We start from the raw sequence: 27,133 nt of genomic DNA, 5'->3' as shown, positions 1-27,133 counted from the left end.
TCCCTTGGAAACATGAAGCTCTTCTCCTCCTTGGGCTTTTGCATATGCTGCTGGTTACCTGTCTGGAAAACTCTTTTCCTCACTCTTCACATGGCTAGCTCTTCTGTCTTCAAGTCTCAGATCTACCTTACCAGAGATCCCTGATAATGAATCCCCCTGATAATGTTCTATTTCAGCACCCTGTCATCTTTCTTAGAGCACTTATCACCTTTTGTATTTACTTTTGTCAATCTCCCTCATTAGACTATTGAATCATGTAAGTCTCACTCACCCCATATTCCCAAGGCCAAGTACAGGGAAAACAACCATGCTCAATAAATATTTGTGGAATGAACGAAAAAAACGTGAAAACCCAAGTATCAGATAATAAGGGAAAGATCCAATTATGATATATTAAGACAGGAAAATATTATATAACATTCAGATTGACCAGTGTGGAGTAGTAAATGTCTATATAAAATGATGGTAAATGAAAAAAATAGGCCACAAAATAGTATGTACATGTATCATACAACTATATATAAGGAAAGTATATGTACATTCAAAATGATTAGAAAATAGGTTTTAACAATTAGCAGGCTTTTTGTTAAAAAAAAAGCAGGTTTCTGGCTGGGTGCAGTGGCTCATGCCTATAACCTCAGCACATTGGGAGGCTGAGGTGGGAGAATTGCTTGAGGCCAGGAGTTCCAGATCCTACCTCTTAAAAAAAAAAAAAATAGCAGGGTGTGGTGGCATGCACCTGTGGTCCCAGCTACTCAGGAGGCTGAGGCAGGAGGATGGCTTGAGCCCAGGAGTTTGAGGCTGCAGTGAGCTATGATTGCCACAGCACTCCAGCCTGCGTGACAGAGAAAGAAGAAAGAAAGAAAAGACAGAAAGAAAGAGCCTAACAATAATATTATATAAAGTCAATATTGTGGAGAAGTGTTTATAAAATATTAGGTGAAGAAATGCAGCATAATATTATGTGTACATCATGATTATAACTAAGCCAAATTAAATACAGATTGAAAAAAGATATAGAAATAAAAATGTTGGCCGGGCATGGTGGCTCATGCCTGTAATCCCAGCACTTTGAGAGGCTGAGGCGGGCAGATTACAAGGTCAAGAGATCGAGACCATCCTGGCCAACATGGTGAAACCCTGTCTCTACTGAAAATACAAAAATTAGCTGGCCATGGTGGTGCACGCTTATAGTCCTAGCTACTCAGGAGGGTGAGGCAGGAGAATAGCTTGAACCCGGGAGGCAGAGGTTGCAGTGAGCCAAGATCGTGCCACTGCACTCCAGCCTGGCAACAGAGCGAGACTCCGTTCCAAAAAAAACAAAAAACAAGAAATAAAAATGTCTATTGCATCTTGCATCAAGATGATAAAATTATGCATAAAAATTGTCTTTAAAAAATTTTTAGAGTTGTTGGTCTTTTAAAAATAATATTTTATAATGGGAAATAGCCAAAAATAAGTAAAGAAGTAAAAATCACTCATCTCATCACCTAATTAATAACAACTGAACAATATTTTGAGTAAATATTTTGGTCCTTTTCACTAATATAGGCAGAATTTATATAAAACAAAATTAGAGTGACACTACACATATGATTTATAACCTGTTTGTTTTCATTACCAATATATCACAAATATTTTCCCAGGCTATAATGGCTTAATAATAAACTTTCAAAAACATTTTAAACAACAAGGTAACATTAGTGGTAAAGACATACATTACTGGACTGGGCATGGCAAAAGGAATAGACCCAGAGCCCAAATCCATATTAACCTGCAACTGTTTGTTGTTGTTTTTTTTTTTTTGAGACAGTTTCGTTCTTGTTGCCCAGACTAGAGCGCAATGGCGTGATCTCGGCTCACAGCAACCTCCACCTCCCGCGTTCAAGCCATTCTCCTGCCTCAGCCTCTGGAGTAGCTGGGATTACAGGCATGCACCACCACACCCGGCTAATTTTGTATTTTTAGTAGAGACAGGGTTTCTCCATGTTGGTCAGTCTGGTCTAGAACTCCCAACCTCAGGTGATCCGCCCGCCTCGGCCTCCCAAAGTGCTGGGATTGCAGGCGTGAGCCACCGTGCCCGGCCAACATGCAGCTGTTTAAATTGAACACTAAGCATGTCTAAGGCTCAACTACTATATCAATAAAACAAAGCCAATACTGAAAGAAGATGAGGACTGATACTTCTTTACAGTTATTATGAAGTATGATAAATGTAAAGAAACAATGCAGGAGAGTGAAGGAATGAAATATACTGACAAATCCTAATTCCCAGAATCATCTCCCAAGCACTCTATCAGACTGATAACATATAACTCACACCATATCCCCAGGAGAAGTCCGAGCTTCCTTCAGTAGATATCCCTGCGCCTGTATAACTTGGAAAAGCAGACAGTGAATTCCCAGTGTCGGCTGATGTAAAAGATGATTCTCTTGTGATGTCAGACTTGCTAAAGGCACAATTTGGGAGGAGGAGAGAAAAAAGAAAATTTTTCATATGTCCTCAAGTTTCTGTGGCATTAACTACTCAGCAACTTACTAGGTGATTAACATGTGTACAAATATATCCACATAGGCAAAAATAAATGAAGAACTTGAAATTTGAGCATTATGGAAAAGTCCTAATTCCTACAGAATTGATGGCAGTCATTCCAAATAATTCTAGTCATAGTTTACAATGAATACTTCAACATCTCACCTATGACATACTCTTTTTTTTTTGGAGACAGAATCTCATGCTGTCGCCCAGGCTACAGTGCAGTGGCACGATATTGACTCATTGCAACCTCGGCCTCCTGGATTCAAATGATTCTCTTGCCTTAGTCTCCCAAGTAGCTGGGACTACAGGTGTGCACCACCACACCCAGCTCATTTTTGCATTTTAGTAGAGAAGGGGTTTCACCATGTTGCCCAGGCTGGTCTTGAACTCCTGAGCTCAGGCAATCTGCCCACCTCAGCCTCCCAAAGTGCTAGGATTTACAGGCATAAGCCACCGCACCCAGCCTATAACATACTCTTGACAACTAAAGACATTTCAGAAATGCTAATAGTAGTATCTGATCTTGTATGGCACTTTTTATTTTTTATTTTTTGAGATGGGGTCTCGCTCTGTCACCCAGGCTGGAATGCAGTGGTGCGAAATCAGCTCACTGCAACCTCCGCCTCCTGGGTTCAAGTGATTCTCCCACTTTAGCTTCCCAAGTAGCTGGGACTACAGGTGTGTGCCACCATGACTGGCTAATTTTGTTTGTACTTTTGTTTTGTTTTTTTGAGATGGAGTCTCGCTCTGTTGCCCAGACTGAGTGCAGTGGCGTGATCTCGGCTCACTGCAACCTCCTCCTCTCGGGTTCAAGTGATTCTCCTGCCTCAGCCTCCTTGGTAGCTGGGACTACAGGTGTGCGCCACCACCCCCAGCCAATTTTTGTATTTTTAGTAGAGACGGGGTTTTGCCATGTTGGCCAGGCTGGTCTTGAACTCCTGACCTCAAGTGATCCGCCTACATCGGCCTCCCAAAGTGCTGGGACTACAGGCATGAGCCACCGTGCCCAGCCTTTTCTTTTTTTTGTATTTTTGGTAGAGACAGAGTTTTGCCATATTGCCCAGGCTGGTCTTGAACTCCTGAGCTCAAGTGATCCACCTGTCTTGGGCTCCCAAAGTGCTGAGACTACAGATGTGAGCCATCACGCCCGGCCTATGATTATACAATATTTTTTTTAATCACACATTGCATCTCAGACACTAATAGAAGTTCTGAGAGACTGAAGAACCATCTTCCCTGTTCTATTACTTAAAATAACTACAGCTAATATTTACTCAGCATTTACTACATGCCAAGCATCGTGCCAAGTTTTACATACATTATCTCATTAATATTTGCAACATCCTATGAGACAGGGGTCCCGAACCCCGGGGTCACAGACCGGTGCTGGTCTGTGGCCTGTTAGGAACTGGGCTGCAGAGCAGGAGGTAAGTGGCAGGTGAGTGCATGAAGCTTCATCTGTATTTACAGCAGCTCCCCATGGCTCGCATTACCACCTGAGCTCTGCCTTCTGTCAGATCAGTGGTGGCATCAGATTCTCACAGGAGCACAAACTGCGCATGCAAGGGATCTAGGTTGTGCATTCCTTATGGGAATCTAATGCCTGATCATCTGTCACTGTCTCCCATCATCCCCGGATGGAACCATCTAGTTGCAGGAAAACAAGCTCAAGGCTCCCACTGATTCTACATTATGGTGAGTTGTATAATTATTTCATCATATATTACAATGTAAAAATAATAGAAATAAAGTGTATAATAAATGTAATGCACTTGAATCATCCTGAAACCATCCCTCACCCCACTGCACAGTCCATGGAAAAACTGTCTTCCACAAAACTGGTCCCTGGTGCCAAAAAGGTTGGGGACTGCTGCTATAAGATACACTATTATCAGTTAAGTAATTTTCCCAATGTTACTCAGCTAATAAGTTGTAGGACCAGGATTAAAAATCAGATGTTGAACTCCTCCTGAGTCCATGTTCTTTTTTATTTATGTTATGTTATTTTATTGTTTGTTTTTTATAATCTTGCTCTTTCTGATATTTATTTAATTTATGTTTTTTCTTTTCTTTTTTTTTTTTTTTTTGAGAAGGAGTCTCGCTCTGTTGCCCAGGCTGGAGTGCAGTGGTGTGATCTTGGCTCACTGCAAGCTCCGCCTCCCGGGTTCATGCCATTCTCCTGCCTCAGCCTCCTGAGTAGCTGGGACTACGGGCCCCCACCACCATGCCTGGCTAATTTTTTTGTATTTTTAGTAGAGACGGGGTTTCACCGTGTTAGCCAGGATGGTTTCGATCTCCTGACCTCGTGATCCGTGCACCTCGGCCTCCCAAAGTGTTGGGATTACAGGCGTGAGCCACCGCGCCCGGCCCTATTTATGTTTTTTCTTGAAACAACGTCTTGCTCTTTCACCCAGGCTGGAGTATCGTGGTGTAAACACAGCTTACTGCAGCCTTGACCTTCTGGGCTCAAGCAATCTTCCCATGTCAGCTTCTGTAGTAGCTGGGACCACAAGTGCACATCCCCACACTTGGCTATGTTATTTTATTTATTTATTTTTTTGTAGAGATGGGGTTTGCCATGTTGCCCATGCTGGTCTTAAACTCCTGGGCTTAAATGATCCTCCCACCTTTTGGCCTCCTATAGTGCTGGGATTGTAAGTACCAAGCTCCATGTTCTGTTTTTTTGTTTGTTTGTGTGTTTGTTTGTTTGTTTTTTCATTCTAATCCCATGGCAGATTATCCGTGTTCTTAACTACTTTATAATACTACTTCTCAAAGGTTATGAAAATATGTATGATGTTGTCATTAGCTGTTTCAGAATGAAAACTAAATGGTACTGAGAACATGACAAAAATTCTTGCTTTGTTTTCATTAGCACAAGGCTTGACACCAATCTTAAGCCAAAAAACAAAACCTCTGCCATGAGCAAGTGCAATAAGTAAACAAGTACACTTTGTGTTATTACCTTTGGGAACTTGTGTCTTTCTCATGACTGTCACTGGTGGGGGAAATTTCCTCCAGCTTCTCTGGAGGGGGATGATGGTTAAGAGCATGTTTTGTTATTCCTTTCCTGTGAAAGACAAAACAAAGTTATATTTCCTGTATAAAAAAATACATACAATTCAATAATTTAATCTAGAAGTTAGTCACCTACTTCCTCTGCTCTGGAACTGCACTGTCTGATATGGTAGCCACCAGTGATTAAAATCTGGCTAGTCAGAATTGTGTTTTAAGTGTAAAACACATTGGATTTCAAGAAGAATTTGCAATACTTCATTTATTATCTTGATTACATATTAAAATGATAATATTTTGGATATATTGGGTTGTTAAAATATATTCTTAAAATTAATGTCACTACAAGTTGAAAATATAGTAGATATCACCACACACCAATTAGAACAGCTAAAATTAAAAATAATGATAACACAAAATGCAGGCATGGATGTGGAGAAACCGGATGTCTCATACATTGCTGGCAGGAATGTCAAATGGTATAGCCATTCTGGAATAGTTTGACAGTTTCTAATAAAACTAAACATATGCATTTACCCAGAGCCCTAGCAGTTGCACTCTTGGGCATTATGCCTAGAGAAATGAAAACTTACATTCATACAAAAATCTGTATACAAATGTTCACAGCAGCTTTATTTACAGTTGAAAAAAATAACTGAAAACAACTCAAATGTCCTTTAACATTGATATTTCCACATAATGAAATATTATTCAGCAATAAAGAGAAATAAACTATTGATACATGCAACAACTTGGATGGATCTCAAAAGCACCATGCTTTTTAGTGCAAAAAGCCAAAGCCAATAGAAAAACCATTAACTACTACAGTTGACCTTGAACAACACAGGTTTAAACTGTGTGAGCCCATTTATATGCAGATTTTTTTCAATAAATATATTGGAAAATTTTTTGGAGATTTGCAACAATTTGAAGAAACTCAACAGATGAACCATGTAGCCTAGAAATATCGAAAAAATTTAAGAAAAAGGTATGTCATGAATGTGTAAAATATATGTAACTACCAGTCTATTTTTGTGTTGACTATGTTATTGGTAAGGCTTCCAGTCAACAGTAGGCTATTAGTGGTTAAGTTCTGGGGAGTCAAAAGTTGAACATGGATGTTTTACTGTACAGGGGGTCAATACCCCTAACCCCTGCATTGTTTAAGGGCCATTTATATAATGGTACATTGGACAAAACTATAGTGGTAGAGAACAGATTAATGGTTGCCAGGGATGGAGACAAGAGTGGATATAACTATAAAGGGATAGGGATACCCAGTGAAGTTCCTTGGTGGGGATGAAACAGCTATCTTGATTTATAGTCGTATTTGCAGTAATCTGTAAATGGGACCAAATTGCATAGAAAGAACTATATACACACATACACACACACAGGAGTGGATGTAAAAACTGGATAAGGTCTGTAGGTCTAGTTAACAGTATTGTACCAACGTCATTTTCCTGGCTTTTAAATTATACCACAGTTACATAAGATGTCATCATTGGGGGAAGCTGAGTGAAAAGTTCATGGGATTCTTGGTACTATTTTTACAACTTCCTGTGAGTCTATAATTATTTCAAAATAAAAAGGTAAAAAAATTTCACTTTTATTTTATTTTTTGAGATGGGGTCTTGCTGTGTTGTCCAAGCTGGAGTACAGTGGTGTGGTCATAGCTCACTGCAGCCTTGACCTCCTGGGCTCAAGGGATTCTTCTGTCTCAGCCTCCTGTGTATCTGAGACTACAGGTACTCACCACCACACTTGGCTAATTATTTAATCTTTAATTTTTTTTTTTTTTGTAGAGATTGGGATCTTGTTATGTTGCTCAGGCTGTCTCTAACTCCTGGCCTCAAATGATCCTCCTACCTCAGCCTCCCAAAGTACTGGGATTCAAGACATGAGCCACTGCACTCGGCCAATTTCACCTTTCTTTTTTAATGTGACCACCTGAAAATTTTAAATTACATATGTGGCTTATATCATATTTGTATTGAATATTGCTGCTCTAGAGACTCCAATGTATGCACTGGATTAAGCTATGGGGTCAATCATTATATGTTCCAGTAATCTATGGGGTCAATCAATATATGTTCCTAGTAATCTGCGGTAGACTTTCCTCACAAAACTCTGTAGTCAAATACATTCAGGAACTGTAATAGGTTGAACAAAGTTACACAGATTTCTTTACAAGAGATCTTCCAGGTCTTTAATATGCAAATGTTTATCATAAATCTCAAATACTCTCATTTCAAAGGAAACTAAGGCACAGAGGGATTAAGTAACCTGCTTAAGGTCATTTGGTTAGTAAGCGATGAAGCCAAGATTCAAATCCTAGTAATCTGGCTCTCAGAGGAAGGCCTCTAGAAGGAAATGAAGAGTTTGAGATTTTAGTGAATTGTACCATTGTTCTATATAAAGATAAAGCTAAGAGCCCAGTCAGTGGAGCTTGCACTTTAAATTATTTCTCAAATTGTGGAGATCAATTTGTGCAGACTTACCTGTATGTCTCTCATTCAGTGGTCCTACAACCAAGAGCTTGTCTTTGAAAAAGTGGAAAGGATAAGAAATACAAATTCAAGCTATGAAATAGAGACTTAAGACATTTTTTAGTCTGCCAGGGAAATCTATGAATTGACAATTAGATAACAAAAAATATCATTAAATTTAATAATGGCACTATGACTACATACAAAAATGTCCATAATTTTTAGAGATGCATAATGACATATATAGGGGTGAAATGGCAGTATCTGCAGTTTTGCTTTCGTTATTTCACAGAGAGGTGCAGAGAAGTTAATAAAAGGATAAGGAGGCCAGGTGCGGTGGCTCACGCCTGTAATCCCAGCACTTTGGGAGGCTGAGGCAGGCAGATCACGAGGTCAGGAGATCGAGACCATCCTGGTTAACACGGTGAAACCCCGTCTCTACTAAAAATACAAAAAATTAGCTGGGCATGGTGGCGGGCACCTGTAGTCCCAGCTACTCGGGAGGCTGAGGCAGAAGAATGGCGTGAACCTGGGAGGCGGAGCTTGCAGTGAGCCGAGATGGCACTACTACACTCCAGCCTGGGCGACAGAGTGAGACTCTGTCTCAAAAAAAAAAAAAAAAGAAAGAAAAGGATAAGGAAGATAGATGAAGCAAATATATTAACTTTGTTAACTGTTGAATGTGGGGTGACAGGTAGTGCATGATACTATTCTCTATATGTTTATGTTTGAAATTTTTCATTAAAAAATGTTAAGCTGTATGTTGAAAATCATTCCTTTCCCATACTCTTTTCAACAATTATAATTTTTAATGGCTAGGTAGAAAACTAAAGTTACGGCTTCAAAGCAGGTTATCATTATTATAACATCTAAAGTAAAAATTGCTTTGAATTTGCTCCCATTAAGATACATTTTATCTTCATTATCTTCATTATTCACTTCATCCTGACTCCAGCTACAGAATCATCTTTTGGGCCTTATAGGGAGTATCAAATCAACAATCAAGAACAAGTAGGCCAGGCGCGGTGGCTCACATCTATAATCCCAGCACTTTGGGAGACCGAGGCAGACAGAGTCCAGGAGTTCAAGACCAGCCTGGGGTGAAACCCCATCTCTACTAAAAATACAAAAATTAGCTGGGCATGTAGTCCTGTGACTTGGGAAGCTGAGGTGGAAGAATCACTTGAACCTAGGAGGTGGAGGTTGCAACTGAGCCAAGATGGCACCACTGCACTCCAACCTGTGCAACAGAGACTCCGTCTCAAAAAAAAAAAAAATAGAAAGAAAACTGATACAACTATACTAGTTAATAATAATTCTGGCCCAACAAGTGCCTATCATTTTTTTCCATACAAGATTTTTTTTAACTTTCAGAATGGTTGGAATTAATCATAAAAGCAGATTTTTAGCTAAACCTCAGTCACTTTATTGGGAAAAGACAGTTTCCTCACAATTTTTTTTTTAAGTAGGAACAACACATCCCAAATCTAAGAGATGACTGTTTCTTCTTCCTAGTTCCCAAAGAGTTTACTAGGAACTAAACTGCTACCATGTAGATATCTTATTCCTTAATAAATAATAAGCTTCTAAAAGGCAAAGAGAGGTTTTAGACTTATTTTCTTTGTATGCCTATTGTATCCCAAGTAAAAGTGCGAAGGGACAAGGAAAATACCATTTATTGAGGATGTATATGTGTCAAGCTCCACACCATCACTTTATTCTTATTTTTATTTATTTATTTATTTATTTGAGACAGAGTCTTCCTCTGTCACCCAGGCTGGAGTACAGTGGTGTGATCTCGGCTCACGGCAACCTCCGCCTCCCAGGTTCAAGCAATTCTCATGCCTCGGCCTCCCAAGTAGCTGAGATTACAGGCATGTGCCACCATGCCCAGCTAATTTTTTGCATTTTTAGTAGAGACAGGGTTTCACCATGTTGCCCAGGCTGGTTTTGAACTCCTGAGCTCAGGCAATCGCCCACCTTGGCCTCCCAAAGTGCTAGGATTACAGGTGTGGGGGTCCACACCATCATTTTAAATAAGCTTTTGGATAAGGTGTTACTCCTATATTGCAGAAACGAAGGCTCAGTGATGTAGTAATTTGCCTAAAAGTCACGTGGCTAGAAGACAGCCTAGCCAGAAACCCAAGAATGATTCAAAATAGCATGCTTGCAATTATCATGTATGTGCATAATTAATATTTAATAAATTAAATAGTTAATAATTAATATTAATAGTTAATATATTTATGGTTGCTAAAATTACATAGCTAAATGAAAGGAAAAGTTAATATTTAATTAATAAATTTATGGTTGCTAAAATTATATAGCTCCATGAAGGAAAAAAAATTGGAATTTGGGGTTAAAGCCCAAGCTCAACTCCTGACTTTTTGGCTATATAATCTTAAAATATGTAACATTTCTGATATAATTTCATCTTCTGAAAGACTGAAGATAATCATACCCACTTTACAGAGTTGTTAAGATCAAAAAGTGAAGTGAGCTGGGCATGGTGGCTCACGCCAACACTTTGGGAGGCCAAAGTGGGAGAACCGCTTGAGTCCAGGAGTTTGAGACCAGCCTGGGCAACATAGTGGGACCCTGTCTCTACCAAAAAAAAATTTTTTTTTAATTAGCCAGTTGTGGTGGTGTGCACCTGTAGTCTCAGCTACTCAAGAGGCTACATTGTGAGGATCACCTGAGCCCATAGGTGGAGGCTGCAGTGAGCAAGGATTGCACTACTGCCCTCCAGCCTGGACAACTGAGCAAGACCCTGTCTCCAAAAAAAAAAAAAAAGTGAAGGCCCTTTTGGAAGTGTAAAGCATTAATAAATGTATGACACTATTATTACTTTCTAAATTATTATACACCACTTCGGTCAGGGTAGGGGGCAGCTCTTTTTATTTTTTTATTATTTATTTATTTATTTTGAGACGGAGTTTCACTCTTGTCACCCAGACTGGAGTGCGATGGCGTGACCTCTGCTCACTGCAACCTCTGCCTCCCGGGTTCAAGTGATTCTCCTGCCTCATCCTCCCAAGTAGCTGGGTTTACAGGCCCCCGCCTCCATGCCCGGCCATTTTTTTTTTTTTTTTTGCATTTTTAGTAGAGATGGGGTTTCGCCATGTTGGCCAGGCTGGTCTCGAACTCCTGGCCTCAAGTGATCCGCCCGCCTCAGCCTCCCAAAGTGCTGGGATTACAAGCGTGAGCCACCACGGCCGGCCGTGAGGGTGGATCTTTTTAAAGCCAGAAATATTTGCTCTTTAAAGTCTCAAAAGCAAAACTGATCTTTATGGATTCTGGTGCTTAATTGCAGAGGTGGGGAGGCAGTATGTGTGATGGTTATGACCACAGGCTTCGGAATCAGATCGACATCAGGTTTGTACCTCTCAGCTCTACCACCTTCAAGCTGTGTGATCTTTGGCATGCTACAATCTTTAATTCTGGGATCTTTATCTGTAGAATGTGCAAAATAATGTTCCCAATCTGATATCATTGATAGGAATGAGCAAATGTATGTAAATAGCTTTGCACAGTGTCAAGTGAGCACTTTCCTGGAGCCCTCAGTTAGCTATTAATAACTTCTCGAGCTACCATGGCCATTAACAATGGGACCTGAAGCACTGCGGATGCTACAAATGCTTCAGCAGACCCAGTGCTTGATTTCAGGAATTTCAGACGAAGGGCGACACGCCCTCAGCTGGAGATGGAGGAAGAAGGGGCAGGGTCCAGCAGGGCTGAGAGGAGAGAATTCCGAAGAAAAATCTCTCCCCAGCCCTGGGAAAGGAAAGGAACGAAGGACTGGTCAAGGAGGGTCCCCAGAGCGCCCGCCGCCCGCCCCGGCTGGGGTGGCTGAGCAGTCCACTCACAGCTCCAAGCTCTGTGGCACCGCCTTCCGAGTGTATCTGGAGATCATCCTCCTCCTCCTCCTCCTCCTCCTCCTCCTCAGCCGCGGCCGGGGCAGGCACGCCAGGGTGGGGGCCTCCGGGCCTGGCCCTCCCGCCGGCTCCGGCCCGGCCCCTCCCGCCACCTACCGGCCCCGTCTCGCCCCGTCACCTAGACTCCGAGCAGCCACCTCCCCAGGGTCCCCACCTCTCCAGTCCTCCGACCTCCCTGCTTTGCCGCGGGGGCGGAAGTGACGAAGGCCCCCGGACACTCGCAAAATGCTCCCGCCGACGCACAGCAGTGACGACACACAAGGTTTCGGGGACTGAGTGGGTTTCAGACTTTCTCTCAGGATTTCCGCTGGCTTCAGGTTCCGGTCAGGCGTCGGGACAGAGCCTGATCCAGGCTTCGGCGGCCGGTGGCAGCTCTCGATCAGCTCTCGCAGTCGGAGAGGCGGCTAAGGAAAGGTGCCACAGCAGAGACGCGAAGGAGAGGCCCTAGAACCGTAAGAGAAATTGGCTTCATTTTGTTAGATGGCAGGAGGGAGCCTAGACTGGGGAAAGAGCACTAGACTCCAAGTCAAGCCCCTGCTGCTTGGTCGCTTCTTTTTCTGTACTCTGGGTTTTCTCATATGTACAGTGAGGTATTAGCCTGAGTGATCATAGAGTCCCTTCCAGTTCTGACACCAAATTCTGCATGATGACGTGTGTTTGGCGTTATGGGGTGGATGGGTAAAATTACTGTCTGTCCCTCTGGGTTGAAAGGCAAAATGATGATTTGGTTAGACTGTGGTGAGTGGGTGTCTGGATAAGAAGAAGCAGGTTCCTTACGAGTCTCTTAGAAAGCTGAGTAAGATTGGAATCATGGAGTTAGGGTGGTCCATCCACCGCCATTTCTTTCTTTACCAAGCATCACCTGGCAGCAAGAATAAACTAGTACTCTTATTTAGGAAAACCCTTAGAAAATTAAGAGATAAGGAAAACCCTTAGAAAATTAAGAGGTATCAATGCAACCTCCATCAAAATACCAGTGACATTCTTCACAGTCATAGAAAAAAGATCCTAAAATTTATATGGAACCACAAAAGAGCCAGAATAGCCAAAGCTATCCTGAGCAAAAAGAACAAAACTGGAAGCATCACATTACCCGACTTCAGATTATACAACAGAGTTATAGTAACCAAAACAGCATGGCACTGGCATAAAAACAGGAACAGAATAGAGAACCCAGAAACAAATCCATATGTCTGCAGTGAATTCATTTTCAGCAAAGGTACCAAAAACATACATTGGGGAAAAGACAGTCTCTTCAATAAATGATACTGGGAAAACTGATACCCGTATGCAGAAGAATGAAACCAGACCCACTACCTCCCACCATATACAAAAATCAAGTCAAAATGGATTAGAGACTTAAATCTAAGCCCTCAAACTATGAAACTACTAAAAGGAAATATTGGGGAAACTCTCTAGGACATTAGAGTGGGCAAAGATTTCCTGAGTAATACCTCACAAACAGAGGCAGCCAAAACAAAAATGGACAAATGGGAGCACATCAAGTTAAAAAGCTTCTGCACAGCAAAGGAAACAATCAACAAAGTGGAGAGAGAACCCACAGAATGGGAGAAAATATTTGCAAACTACCCATCTGACAAGGGATTAATAACCAAAATATATAAGGAGTTCAAACAACTCTCTAGGAAGCAGTCTAATAATTGATTAAGAATTGGATAAAAACTCTGAATAGACATTTCTCAAAGAAGACATAAAAATGGCAAACAGGTTTATGAAAAGGTGCTCAATATCATTGATTATCAGAGAAATGCAAATCAAAACTACAATAAGATAGCATCTCACCCCAGTTAAAATGGCTGTTATCCATAAGACAGGCAATAACAAATGCTGGCAAGGATTTGGATAAAACACTGTTGGTGAGAATGTAAATTAGTGCAGTCACTATGGAGAACAGTTTTGGAGATTCCTCAAGAAACTAAAAATAGAGCTACTATATGATCCAGCAGTCCCACTGTTGGGTATTTACCCAAAAGAAAGGAAATCAGTATATCAAAGAGATATCTGCACTCCCATGTTTATCGCAGCACTATTCTCAGTAGCCAAGATTTGGAAGCAACCTAAGTGTCCATCAACAGATAATGAAGAAAATGTGGCACATACACACAATGGAGTGCTTTTCAGCCATAAAAAAAAAAATGAGATTCTGTTATTTGTAACAACATGGATGGAACTGAAGATCAAGTGGAACTGGATGGAAGTGAAATAAGGATGGCACAGAAAGATAAACTTCAAATGTTCTCACTAATTTGTAGGAGCTAAAAATTAAAACAGTTGAACTCATGGAGATAGCAAGTAGAAGGATGGTTTACCAGAAGCTGGGAAGGGTTGCAGAGGGTTTGTGGGGGAGTATGGTTAAAGGGTACAAAAAAAATAGAGTGAATGAAAACTAGTATTTGGTAGCACAACAGGGTGACTATAGTAAATAATAATTTAATTGTACATTTAAAAATAACGAAGTTCAGATGAGAGCATGTCCTGGCTATAAAAATTTTTTTAATAAAAATAACTAAAAGAGTATAATTAGAGTGTTTGTAACACAAAGGATAAATGCTTAAGGCAATGGATATCTCATTTACCCTGAGGTGCTTATTATGCATTGTATACCTGTATCAAAATATCTCATGTACCCCATAAATATATACACCTACTATTTACCCTTAAAAATTAAAAAAAAAAAACAGCACTTTGGGAGGCCGAGGCAGGTGGATCATGAGGTCAGGAGTTTGAGACCAGCCTGGCCAATATGGTAAAACCCCGTCTCTACTAAAAATACAAAAATTAGCCAGGTGTGGTGGCGTGCGCCTATAGTCCCAGCTACTCGGGAGGCTGAGGCAAAAGAATCGCTTGAACCTGGGAGGCAGAGGTTGCAGTGAGCTGCGATCACTCCACTGCACTCCAGCCTGGGCGACAGAGCGAGACTCCATCTCAAAAAAAAAAGAAAAGAAAAAGAAAAGAAAAAAAGAAAAGAAAGATATACCTACCATCCCATGAGACTTGAAAAAGGGGCAAATTTAGGACAGAGGTAAAATGACAGGACATGAATGTTTTGTAGTTCTGAATTCCTCTACGCCATACAATGTTCATAAAAGAGAGAGATGTACATTCTGTAGAGCAAGACAGATTGTACTTTAGAGTTTAAATAACAAAATTTTAAAGCAGGGAGAGATTTTAGAGATGGTAGATAACTTATCCTAAATTAAAGAAAAAAACCCAGAAAGAGAAAGTGAAATGTCCATAGTGGCACAACTAATTAGTGGCAGAACTGGGGTTTTTGATAGTATGTAAACAGTAGGTGTTAGTGCAGTGTTTCTCGAAATATATTACACATACCACTGCTAGTACAAGGGCAAACATTAAAAATTTCATTCTTCACTTCCAAAATAGGAAAAATATAAAAAGTAAAGATTTTATTCTTACATACTTACTAATTGGGGAATGTGATACTAGATTTCTATTCACTGTATTATATCAAGGTTTCCTTTTAACGTAATTTTAAAGATAAAGTTTTAAGTGTAAAGGGTCATTAAAAATAATATTAGGCCAGATGCCTATAACCCCAGCACTTTGGGAGACCAAGGTGGAAGAACTGCTTGAGCTCAGAAGTTCTAGGCCAGCCTGGGCAATATGGCAAAACCTTGCCTCTACTAAAAATACAAAAAAAGTTAGCTGGGCATGGTGGCATGCACCTGTGGTCCCAGCTACTTGGGAGGCTGAGGTGGGAGGATGGCTTGAGCCCAAGAGGTGGAGGTTGCAATGAGCTGTGATCATGCCGCTGCACTCCAGCCTGGGCAACAAGAGTGAAACTCCATCTCAAATAAATAAATAAAGTTTAAAAAAATTAAATAAATATTACTGTAGGTGGTGTATGGTTAAGGCCAAAACCATGGTGATGGTATGTGACTAAATTTTATTTTTTTATTTTTTATTTTTATTTATTTTTTTTTTTAGTTGGAGTCTTGCTCTGTCACCCAAGCTGGAGTGCAGTGGCATGATCTCGGCTCATTGCAACCTCTGCCTCCTAGGTTCAAGTGATTCTCCTGCTTTAGCCTCCCAAGTAGCTAGGATCACAGGTGCATGCCACCACACCCAGCTAATTTTTGTATTTTTAGTATTTTGTATTTTTAGTAGAGACGGGGTTTCACCATGTTGGCCAGGCTGGTCTCAAACTCCTGACCTCCAGTGATCTGCCTGTCTCGGCCTCCCAAAGTGATAGGATTACATGCATGAACCACTGTGCCCGGCCTAACTAAATTTTAGAAAACAGTGTTCATAGAACCATCTAAAAGAGTTCAGATGTTACTTCTGCATTGTTCTATGTGGTTTATATTTTGGAACTTTAAACATAGTTTTCAAAGAAGAATGGAAGAAACCATGAAGCTTGCTACGATGGAAGACACAGTGGAGTACTGCCTGTTCCTGATACCAGATGAGTCAAGGGACTCAGATAAACATAAAGAGATTCTTCAGAAGTACATTGAGAGAATAATCACTCGGTTTGCACCTATGCTGGTCCCCTACATCTGGCAGAATCAGCCTTTCAATCTTAAATATAAACCTGGGAAAGGTAAGGCTCTTTTACTTGTTTGGATTAGTGTGACTTTTAATGTTATCCTGACAACAGTGATGTGTAATAGTCCACGCTTCATTCAGTGTTGCCAGGAAGAGATTAATACACTAAACTTTTTAGATGAGTAATACTTGTCTATATTCAGTTAGCCTTAAAGCTTTTTTTTAAAAAAAATCATATTAATGAAAACTTTCTAAATTTGCCTTAGGAATTAGCATATACTAAACATTATTAAACTCATGGCTATTCTTTTGAACTTTAGTTACTACACTATGCCATAATGTATCTAAGTATCTATACTAAATAGTTTCAGGCATCTGGCTTTAATCATGGTTCCTTTTGCTGTTACTCAGGATTCCTTATTTTGGTGATGTGTTTGGTAGGCTGCCTTGTTTCATATAGCCATTTTGGTGAGGATCTGAGTGGCTCTGCCCAGCTTATAAAGATAAATAATTGGGCTTTATGACTAATATTTGCCACTTACAAGCATTTTGAGGTTTCTTCATTGCTTCCCTGTGTTGTTGGTGCTTGAGATCTGACCTCTGGCAAAATATGGCACTCTGTCCTGTTATGAGAAAAACCCAGGATTAAACTAGGAGGGAGCGGAGAGACCAAAGAATGACTCGGACAGGTCTATCTTGGCAAGTAGATGAGTTTATTAGGACTTACAGACAAGACACTCCTGGGCAGCATCAGGACAGCTCTAGAAATCCACCCCACCTCCCATATTTAAGTTGCTAGTAAGCTAATTTTTTGGCTCTTTGCCTACTGCGTATATGCAATGACACTGTTTTCCTTGGTATGTTCCCAGCTATGCCCTGCAATGTTTGGGTTCTCAGGACCTGCTCCTCTGCTAGGCATGATGGCTTTGGCTTGCCAGCTGGCCTTTGAAGTTTAAGCAGCAGACATATACCCTTAAGTAGTCTGGTGGGGAACTGGTCACATTACAGTTCTATCATTTCTTATAGTTTTATGAAAATAAATCATGGGTAGGTGACCAAGTCTCTCCTTACACAGTGACTTATGTGAGGTCTTATTTGGGATCAGGAGCCTGGCATCTTGTGATACCATCACAAGATATACCCCCCATGTATACATCACAAGTATACATCACTGTGATACTCTCAGTTTAGTGCGTATCTGTTATCTTTTGGCAACAATTGCTACATATCTTACTGTTAATTTTATTGAACTCTTATTCATTGAAATACATATGATATTTATTGGCAAGAACACTGTCACATTGGTGTAGCACATCTAAAACCAACCCTTTATCCATCCTCTAGAAAACCATTTTTACTGTTTTCTTATCTTGTTTAATGGCATTGCCATCCACCCAGTTATCCAAGCTAGTCAGTAATTCAAAATCATAATCAGTTCCTCACTTCACCATGTTCAGTCAGATGCTAAATCCTGAATGCTTCTAAAATATGACCCCTTCTCTACATCTATTTGGCTTCAGTGTAGACCCTCTTTATCTCTACATCTGGAAAACAACAACAGCCTCCTAACTTACCTCTCTGGTTCCTGTCTTTCTAGTTCCTAACACTGTTGCTGGTTATGTTTGTAAAACACAAATTTGATTGTGTCACTCTCCTGCTTAATATCCTTCAGTAGTTCCCATTGCTTCAAGATGAAATTTAAATCAAAGTCTAATATAGACAAAAATAGTTACTTTAATTGGAGTTCTCTAGTTGAAGAAACTTGAGATCTGGGGTGGGGAGAAGAAGAGTTGGTTGGGCTGTTCTTCTACCTATTGTTTGCCATGGCAGCTCTTGAGACACTCTGTAATGCACTTGTTTGACCTTCATTCTGTTAATGTGGGATATTAACTGTACATTGATTTTCGTGTGTTGAACCATCCTTGCATCCCAGGAATAAATCTCGCTTGGTCGTGGTGAATAATCTATTTAATGTGTTGTTGAATTCAGATTGCTGATATTTTGTTAAGGATTTCTGCATTGATACTCATCAGGGATATTGATCTACAGCTTTCTCATATTGTCTTTGTCTGGCTTTGGTATTAGGGTAATGCTGGCCTCAGAAGGAATTTGGGAATTCCCTCCCTTTTATTTTTTTGGAAGATTTTGAGGAGGATTGGTGTCAAATTCTTTAAATGTTTGGAAGAATTCCCCGGTGAAGCCAGCTTTTCTTTGTTAGGAGCTTTTGGATTATTGATTCAATCTCCTTACTAGTTATAGATCTGTTCAGATTTTTGTATTTCTCATGATCCAGTCTTGACAGGTTGTGTTTCTAGGAATTTGTCAATTTCTTATAGGTTATCCAACTTACTGGTATACCATTGTTCATAGAATTCTCTTATCCTTCTTATTTCTATGACATAAGTTGTACTGTCCCCTCTTTCATTTCCGATTTTAGTTATTTGAGTATTTGCTCTTATTCCTGGTTAATCAAGTTAATAGTTTGTCAATCTTTTAAAAAAAACCCAACTCAGCTGTTTTGTTTTTCTATTATTTTTTCTGGTCTCTATATTTCTCTCTGCTGTAATGTTTATTATTTCCTTCCTTATGCTAGGTTTGGGTTTAGTTTTTGTTTTTTTTTTTTGAGGTATAGGTTGTTGATTTGAGATCTTTCACAACTACAAACTTCCTTTTTAGCACTGCTTTCACTGAATTCCTTAAGTTTTGGTATGATGTGCATTCATTTTCATTTGTCCCAAGATATTTTCTAATTTCCCTGTGATTTATTCCAAGAGTGTGTTGTTGTTTAGTTTCCATGTGTTTGTGAATAGTGCACATGTTTGAAAACTTCTGCTCCATCCAAATCTAGCGTCCTGGTATTCCCAGAATACTCTATACATACATACTCTATACATCATGCCTCTGTGCCTTTGCACATACTTTTCCATTTTTCTGGAAAGCTCACCTCTTGTCATTCCTCCAGGCAAGCATAGCACAGATATCCCCTCCTTTATACTCACATAGCCGTTACTGCACACTCCTGTTCTAGAGTTCATTATCTTGTTTTGAGATCATTTGGTTGTCTTGTTTTACCCTGAGCTCCTCAGGAGTAGGCTTCTTCTTCAGGATTGCAACCCCTGCTCCCCAGTACTTAGAGCAATCAGTCAATGAATGTGTATTCAGTTGAATGATTATGTGCATTTTATTTGCAGTAACAAATTTATCTGGTTACATGGTTGCTTTTCTCTTGTTTTTAGGAGGTGTTCCTGCTCATATGTTTGGCGTGACAAAGTTTGGGGATAACATTGAGGATGAATGGTTTATTGTTTATGTAATAAAGCAGATCACAAAGGAATTTCCAGAGTTAGTAGCAAGGTATTGTAGTTATTTTAATTATTCTAAAGGAATTCTATTACTGAAACAAAGTGACTACATTTTTATCTATTTAGTAATTTATTTTTCTCCTGTAGTCTGCTGGAAATTGTACAGATTTTAATAGTATCTGTGCTCTTTTTTTTTTTTTTTGAGACAGTCTTGCTTTGTCACCCAGGCTGGAGTGCAGTGGTGTGATCTTGGCTCACTGCAATCTTCACCTTCCGGGTTCAAGCGATTCTCCTGCCTCAGCCTCCCAAGTAGCTGGGATTACAGGCGTGCACCACCACGCCTGGCTAATTTTGTATTTTTAGTAGAGACAAGGGTTCACCATGTTGGCTAGGCTAGTCTCTGGAGCTCCTGACCTCAGGTGATCCACCCACCTTGGCCTCCCAAAGTGCTGGGAATACAGGCGTAAGCCACCGCGCCCAGCCATATCTGTGTTTTCTTTCTCTTCTCTTGTGGCTTCCTTTTCTTGAGAAAGAATTAAAGTACACGGCCAGGCGCGGTGGCTCACACCTGTAATCCCAGCACTTTGGGAGGCCGAGGCAGGCGGATCATTTGAGGTCAGGAGTTCGAGACCAGCCTCAACATGGAGAAACCCTGTCTCTACTAAAAATACAAAATTAGCCAGGCATGGTGGTACATGCCTGTAATCACAGCTACTCGGGAGGCTGAGGCAGGAGAATTGCTTGAACCTGGGAGGCGGAGGTTGCGGTGAGCCGAGATCGCGCCATTGCACTCCAGCCTGGGCAACAAGAGTGAAACTGTCTCAAAAAAAAAAAAAAAAAAAATTAAAGTACTGTCAAAGAGTTCAACTTCCAAAAGATTTCAAATAAAACCTACTTATTTTAGGTTTTCTTTTTAAAGTTCTAATTATGAAAAAACAAATACATGTGGTAAACAAAATTCAAAAGATACAAAGGTTTCTACTGCTCTTGCTTCCCAGAAGTAATCACCATTAAATTCCTTGTGGATCTTTGAAAAATAAAATTCCATTCATACACATACACACATATTTCACGTATTTTTAAATATGTATTCCTGTACTAGACCATAGCTATATTTTTTGAGAAATCATACACAGAAACAATTTAAAGAGAAGTCAGTGAACACAATTGTATAGGAAGCAAAGTAGGTAACATTACGTTAAAAATGGGACCTGGGTTTTCTGTAATTAACCACGTATTGCCAGCAGAGGGCGTTCCGCCCACTTATATTTTGTCCTAGTTTTCCTAGTCAGCACCCAAATTCTGATCTTTTTTTACCCACTCAACCTCTTTCCCAACAGAACAAAATAGAAGGGAGAAAAAAACCTTTGAAAACTTATTATTTAAATTTTAAACATACATTAAAGTAGAAAGAATGAACCCACATGTTCCCATTATCCAGCTTCAACAATTACCAACTCATGGTCATTATTATTTCATCTGTAGCTGTCATTTGATCCTTAAATATTTCAGGATGTAAATCTAAGCGATAACTCATTTTATTTTTATCTTTAAATAAATTTATTTAAAATTTTTAAATGTTTTAAATTTATTTATTATTTATTTAGTTTTTTAAAGACGGGGTCTTACTATTTTGCCCAGGCGGGACTTGAACTCCTGGGCTCAAGCCATCCTCCTGCCTCAGTCTCCCAAGCAGCTGGTACTACAGGCACATGCCACTGTGCTCTATTTTATTTTATTTTATTTTTTTGAGACAGGCTCTCACTCTCTTGCCCAGACTGGACTGCAGTGGAACAATCTCGGCTCACTGCAACCTCTGCCTCCCGGGCTCAAGCAATTCTCTTACCTCATCCTCCTGAGTAGCTGGGGCTATGGGCGTGCACCACCACACCTGGCTAATTTTTGTATTTTTTGTAGAGACAAGGTTTCACCATGTTGGCCAGGCTGGTCTCAAACTCCTGACCTCAAGTGATCCACCTGCCTCAGCCTCCCAAAGTGCTGGGATTACAGGTGTGAGCCACTGCGCCCAGCCTATTTTTAAAATTGATAAATAAAAATTTTATATATTTATTATGTATAACATGTTGTCTTGAAATACATATATATTGTAGGATGGCTGAATTGAGCTCATAACGTACATTACTTCACATACTTATTTTTTTGTGTGTGGTGCGAACATTTAAAATCTACTGCCTTAGCAAGTTTCAAGAACACAATACATTGTAGGCCTGGGGCGGTGGCTCACATCTGTAATCCCAACGCTTTGGGAAGTCGAAGCGGAAGCATCACATGAGGTCAGAAGTTCGAGACGAGCCTGGCCAACATGGTGAAACCCCATCTCTACTAAAAATACAAAAATTAGCCATGTGTGGTGGCCCATGCCTGTGGTCCCAGCTACTCGGGAGGCTGAGGCAGGAGAATCACTTGAGCCCAGGAGGTAGAGGTTGCAGTGAGTGTGATTGCACCACTACATTCCAGCCTGTGCGACAGAGTGAGACTCTGTCTCAAAAATAAAATAAAATAAAATAAAATAAAATAATAAAAATAGAAGTATAGAGCTAGAACGATATATAACAGTATATAAAATATGCCATGTCTTGTGTAAAAAAGGGAGAAAATACAAGTATATATTTCTATAGTTAGATTATGTGTAAGCAAACTCTAGAAGGATATACAAGAAACAGCAGTGATGCATGTAGGGTTGAGCAGATAGGGACAAAAGTAGGAGGGAGACTTTTTTATTTTGTAACTTTTTTTTTTTTTGAGATGGAGTTTCGCTCTTGTTGCCCAGGCTGGAATGCAATGGTGCGATCTCGGCTCACCGCAACCTCTGCCTCCCAGGTTCAAGCAATTCTCCTACCTCAGCCTCCCGAGTAGCTGGGATTACAGGCATGGGCCACCACGCCTGGCTGATTTTTTTTGTATTTTTAGTAGAGACGGGGTTTCTCCATGTTGGTCAGGCTGGTCTTGAGCTCCTGACCTCAGGTGATCCGCCCACCTCGGCCTCCCAAAGTGCTGGGATTACAGGCGTGAGCCACTGCACCTGGCCATGTAACTTTTAATACATTTTTTTAAAAAATGTAACCATGTGAATGTATAACCTATTTTAAAAAATTAAATTTAAAAAAGTGATACGGGCCGGGCGTGGTGGCTCACACCTGTAATCCTAGCACTTTGGGAGGCTGAGGTGAGCGGATCACTTGAGGTCAGGAGTTCGAGACCAGCCTGGGCAACATGGCGAAACCCTGTCTCTACTAAAAATACAAAAATTAGCTGGGCATGATGGCGGGCACTTGTAATCCCAACTACTCAGGAGGCTGAGGCAGGATAATTGCCTGAAAACAAGAGGTGGAGGTTGCAGTGAGCCGAGATCATACCACTGCACTCTAGCCTGAGTGACAGAGCGAGACTCCGTCTCCAAAATAAAAAAAAAAAAAGTGATGCAAATGAGGCAGAAATAATTATCTTTTCAGGCCCAAATAACACCTCCTACATGAAGGCTTTTCTAATCTCAGCTATGTGTTTCTTTTTTTTCTTTTGGAACCCTATAGTACTTTCGTATATTTTCATATTTTTGTCTAATATTTCTTTATGTAAATTGCTTATCTTCTCTCCTTATCATATCTACCTTCAACTCCTCCTTACAATCTTACAGTCTCCTTCAGTGCTTAATGTTATCTTAAATATTTTGCTTTCTTATAGCCATCTGCACATAGTACATACTCAAATATTTACTAAGATGAAGAGGAAAATGTATTAGAATGAAACTGTTTTGGTTACTAGCAGATATATGCTTTTTGAATGCAAAATTGGAAATTTTCTTGCATTAGGATTGAAGACAATGATGGTGAATTCTTGTTAATAGAAGCTGCTGACTTTCTCCCTAAATGGCTGGATCCTGAAAATAGCACCAATAGGGTAAGTATACCCAAGTTTAGAAAATTTATAGAGATGAAATCATGCTGCATTACATTCATATGTACCTGCAGTTTGCCAGTGCCCACTGTGAAAATTGAAATGTACCGTTTGCAGGTATTTTTCTGCCATGGGGAATTGTGTATTATCCCTGCACCAAGAAAATCTGGAGCAGAATCTTGGTTACCCACCACACCCCCAACAATTCCACAAGCATTGAATATAATCACAGCACATTCAGAAAAAATACTTGCTTCAGAATCTATACGAGCTGCTGTGAATAGGCGCATCAGAGGGTAAGAAAAATATCACTTTCATTGCTAATTAAGGAACCTTTTGGTTTCGTGTAGTTCAGTCTTTCTTTGATTTTTGTTTGTTTTCCTTAAAGCTCTGTTGGAGTTGATCAGTCTTTCTTTGACTATAAAATACCTTTCACCTAGATTAATGCTAATTTTCATTTTGTCTTCATTCCTCTTTATGAAATAGACTAGTAAATTAAACTTACAGATTTTAAAATCAGGAAACAGATACATCTTTAAATTCCCATTCAGAAGTGTTACAATCTTGTCCCAATATTTTTGCATTTATTTACCTTAGATATTGTGGCTAAGTATTAGCTATATCCATGGGTAAAAAATTTGAGACCTTTAAAAATAGAAACTTCATGGGCCTGGAGCGATGGCTCACACCTGTAATCCCAGCACTTTGGGAGGCTGAGCAGGGGGCGGATCATGAGGTCAGGAGTTCAAGACCAGCCTGGCCAACATAGTGAAATCCCATCTCTACTAAAAATACAAAAACAAAATAGCAGGGCGTGGTGGCAGGTGCCTGTAATCTCAGCTACTTTGGAGGCTGAGGCAAGGAGAATCGCTTGAACCCGGGAGGCGGAGGTTGCAGTGAGCTGAGATCACGCCACTGCACTCCAGCCTGGGCGACAGTAGGAAACTCCATCTCAAAAAAAAAAAAAAAAAAAAAAGTAGAAACCTAATGGAGCACAAACAAGGTGCTCAGGTTTTTTCTGTTGTTCTGGGTCTGTATATGGGATTCTTTGACCTATGTCAGAATTCAGTTTCTGAATAAAACTTTAGCTTTTATTCAGAAAAGAAAGGTCTTAGCCTAATTACATATTCGTTCATCCATTCAAATTTGGGTGCCTATTAAATATTAAGCACCATTCAGGTATTAACAATATTAAAAATATTTTTGGCCGGGCGCGGTGGCTCACGCCTGTAATCCCAGCACTTTGGGAGGCCAGGGCGGGTGGATCACAAGGTCAAGAGATCGAGACCATCCTGACCAACATGGTGAAACCCCGTCTCTACTGAAAATACAAAAAATTAGCCGGGCGTGGTGGCAGGCCCCTGTAGTCCCAGCTGCTTGGGAGACTGAGCGCAGGAAAATCACTTGAACCTGGGAGGTGGAGGTTGCAGGGAGGTGGAGGTTACAGTGAGCCGAGGTTGCACCACTGCACTCCAGCCTGGCGACAGAGCGAGACTCCGTCTCAAAAATAATAATAAATAAAAAATAAAAATCTCTTTTAGCTTCAGCATACTTTGTACCATTCTTTTAGAAGAATAAACTCTGATTTTATCTTTATTCCAAAGTATAATAGGTATTTTTGTTTTGTTTTGTTTTTGAGATGGAGTTTTGCTCTTGTCGCCCAGGCTGGAGTGCAGTGGCGTGATCTCGGCTCACTGCAACCTCTGCCTCCCGGGTTCAAGCGATTCTCCTATGTCAGCCTCCCGAGTAGCTGGGACTACAGGCGTATGCCACCACGCCCAGCTAATTTTTTGTATTTTTAGTAGAGATGGGGTTTTACCGTGTTAGCCAGGATGGCCTCAATCTCCTGACCTCGTGATCCACCCGCCTCAGCCTCCCAAAGTTGTTTTGTTTTTATAGAGCTACAATAATCCCTTTTCTTTATTTTCCATTTCTTCCTACTTTTTTCTTTCCCTCTCTCGTATATTCTTAAGTGTATATACAGTATCTTTTTTCATCTCTCTTGTCACTCTCTACGTACTGCTCTTGATGAACAAAGAGATGTCAAAAAGAATGTGAATGGTATAAGAATTATAGGTATTTATATACTGTAAAATGAAAGTAATTATGTTACCTGTCCCAGGTACCCAGAAAAAATTCAGGCCTCACTTCATCGAGCACACTGCTTCCTTCCAGCTGGCATTGTGGCAGTGCTAAAGCAGCGCCCCAGATTGGTGGCTGCAGCAGTCCAGGCATTTTACCTACGAGACCCTATTGACCTGCGAGCTTGTCGTGTTTTCAAGACATTCTTGCCTGAAACACGAATAATGACATCGGTGAGATTTCTATCTTGGTCATTTAGTTTCTCTTACTGGAAACCGAGTTGAAACATTATTATTTTTTTCTTTTTACATTTCTCAGTGCTCAGTGAATGAAACATTATTTTAATTGTTCTCTAGAAAAAAAAGGAAATATTCTGTTTCTTCATAGCATGTTAATATAGATTGAATATTCCTTATCTGAAATGCTTGGGACTAGAAGTATTTCAGATTTCAGATTTATTTGGATTTTGGAATATTTGCATTAAACTTACTACTTGAGCATCCCAAATCTGAAAATTCTGAAATCTCAAAACTTTGAGCATATCGTTGGGACTCAAAAAGTTTTGGATTTTGGAACATTTTAGATTTCAGATATTTACATTTGGGATGCTCAAACTATACACGTTTTTTCTTTTCTTGCACCCAGTGAAGGAAATTTTCAAGAGACCTGCCTCCCCATTTTATACTCAATGTTTTATAGCTATTTTTGACCATATGTTTCTATTTCTATAATTATTTCCTTTTTTTTTTTTTTTTTTTTTTTTGAGACAGAGTCTCACTCTCTCACCCAGGCTGGAGTGTAGTGGAGCCATCTCAGCTCACTGCAACCTCTGCTTCCTGGGCTCAAGCGATTCTCCTGCCTCCCGAGTAGCTGGGATTACAGTCACCTCCCAACACGCCCAGCTGATTTTTTTATTTTTAGATGGTGTTTCGCCATGTTGGCCAGACTGGTCTCGAACTCCTGACCTCAAGTGATTCACCCACCTCAGCCTCCCAAAGTGCTGGGATTACAGGTGTGAGCCACCGCACCCAGCCTAATTATTTCCTTCTTAACAATAAAACATTTCATCTCTTCCAGAGAATTAAGAATTATTCTTGGCCGGGCATGGTGGCTCACACCTGTAATCCCAGCACTTTGGGTGGCCAAGGCAGGTGGATCACTTGAACCCACGTGTTTGAGACCAGACTGGGCAACATGGTGAACCCCATCGCTACAAAAAATAAAAAAATTAGCTAGGTGTGGTGGTGGGCGCCTGTAATCCCCGCTACTTCGGAGGCTGAGGTAGGAGGATTGCTTGACCCCAGGAGGTTTGGGAGGCCAAGGTGG

The 27,133-nt window shown here is 40.4% G+C and overlaps 2 protein-coding genes across 12 annotated transcripts in view, besides 4 other annotated features; one reads left to right on the top strand and one right to left on the bottom strand.

Moving 5' to 3' along the window:
• Nucleotides 1–12,177, bottom strand: part of FAM149B1 (family with sequence similarity 149 member B1) — a 76,386-nt gene extending 64,209 nt beyond the window's left edge. For 6 of the 8 annotated variants that reach the window (NM_173348.2, XM_005269744.3, XM_047425143.1 and 3 more), the window contains exons 1-3: nucleotides 11,910–12,177; nucleotides 5,505–5,609; nucleotides 2,321–2,450 (exon numbers count right to left, since the gene is read on the bottom strand). In NM_173348.2, the coding sequence (NP_775483.1) occupies nucleotides 2,321–2,450; nucleotides 5,505–5,609; nucleotides 11,910–11,956 (282 nt within the window). In that variant the 5' untranslated portion in view covers nucleotides 11,957–12,177. Of the gene's footprint in view, nucleotides 1–2,320; nucleotides 2,451–5,504; nucleotides 5,610–8,055; nucleotides 8,362–11,909 lie in introns of those variants that run through there. The other 2 variants (XM_047425145.1, XM_047425142.1) reach the window with 2 other exon arrangements.
• Nucleotides 10,671–11,269: an enhancer, noted in NCBI's record as "H3K27ac-H3K4me1 hESC enhancer chr10:74928785-74929383 (GRCh37/hg19 assembly coordinates)". NCBI's record gives its function as "activates a minimal SCP1, AML or CMV promoter by ChIP-STARR-seq in primed H9 embryonic stem cells {active_cell/tissue: H9 hESC(primed)}" and the evidence as "EXISTENCE:reporter gene assay evidence [ECO:0000049][PMID:30033119]".
• Nucleotides 11,870–12,469: an enhancer, noted in NCBI's record as "NANOG-H3K27ac-H3K4me1 hESC enhancer chr10:74927585-74928184 (GRCh37/hg19 assembly coordinates)". NCBI's record gives its function as "activates a minimal SCP1, AML or CMV promoter by ChIP-STARR-seq in primed H9 embryonic stem cells {active_cell/tissue: H9 hESC(primed)}" and the evidence as "EXISTENCE:reporter gene assay evidence [ECO:0000049][PMID:30033119]".
• Nucleotides 11,924–12,113: a silencer, noted in NCBI's record as "silent region_2481". NCBI's record gives its function as "represses an Ori minimal core promoter by ATAC-STARR-seq in GM12878 lymphoblastoid cells {active_cell/tissue: GM12878}" and the evidence as "EXISTENCE:reporter gene assay evidence [ECO:0000049][PMID:35858748]".
• Nucleotides 12,164–12,363: an enhancer, noted in NCBI's record as "active region_3556". NCBI's record gives its function as "activates an Ori minimal core promoter by ATAC-STARR-seq in GM12878 lymphoblastoid cells {active_cell/tissue: GM12878}" and the evidence as "EXISTENCE:reporter gene assay evidence [ECO:0000049][PMID:35858748]".
• Nucleotides 12,201–27,133, top strand: part of ECD (ecdysoneless cell cycle regulator) — a 34,428-nt gene continuing 19,495 nt past the window's right edge. For 2 of the 4 annotated variants that reach the window (NM_001135753.1, NM_001135752.1), the window contains exons 1-6: nucleotides 12,201–12,430; nucleotides 16,346–16,563; nucleotides 19,745–19,862; nucleotides 23,641–23,728; nucleotides 23,843–24,021; nucleotides 25,848–26,040. In NM_001135753.1, coding sequence (NP_001129225.1) covers nucleotides 16,359–16,563; nucleotides 19,745–19,862; nucleotides 23,641–23,728; nucleotides 23,843–24,021; nucleotides 25,848–26,040 — 783 coding nt within the window. In that variant the 5' untranslated portion in view covers nucleotides 12,201–12,430; nucleotides 16,346–16,358. The remainder of the gene's footprint in view (nucleotides 12,431–16,345; nucleotides 16,564–19,744; nucleotides 19,863–23,640; nucleotides 23,729–23,842; nucleotides 24,022–25,847; nucleotides 26,041–27,133) is intronic. The other 2 variants (NM_007265.3, NR_024203.1) reach the window with 2 other exon arrangements.

The sequence above is a fragment of the Homo sapiens genome, chromosome 10, assembly GCF_000001405.40.
Source record: "Homo sapiens chromosome 10, GRCh38.p14 Primary Assembly".
NCBI classification, from domain to species: Eukaryota; Metazoa; Chordata; class Mammalia; order Primates; family Hominidae; genus Homo; species Homo sapiens.
This window is presented reverse-complemented; position numbering and strand designations above follow the sequence as displayed.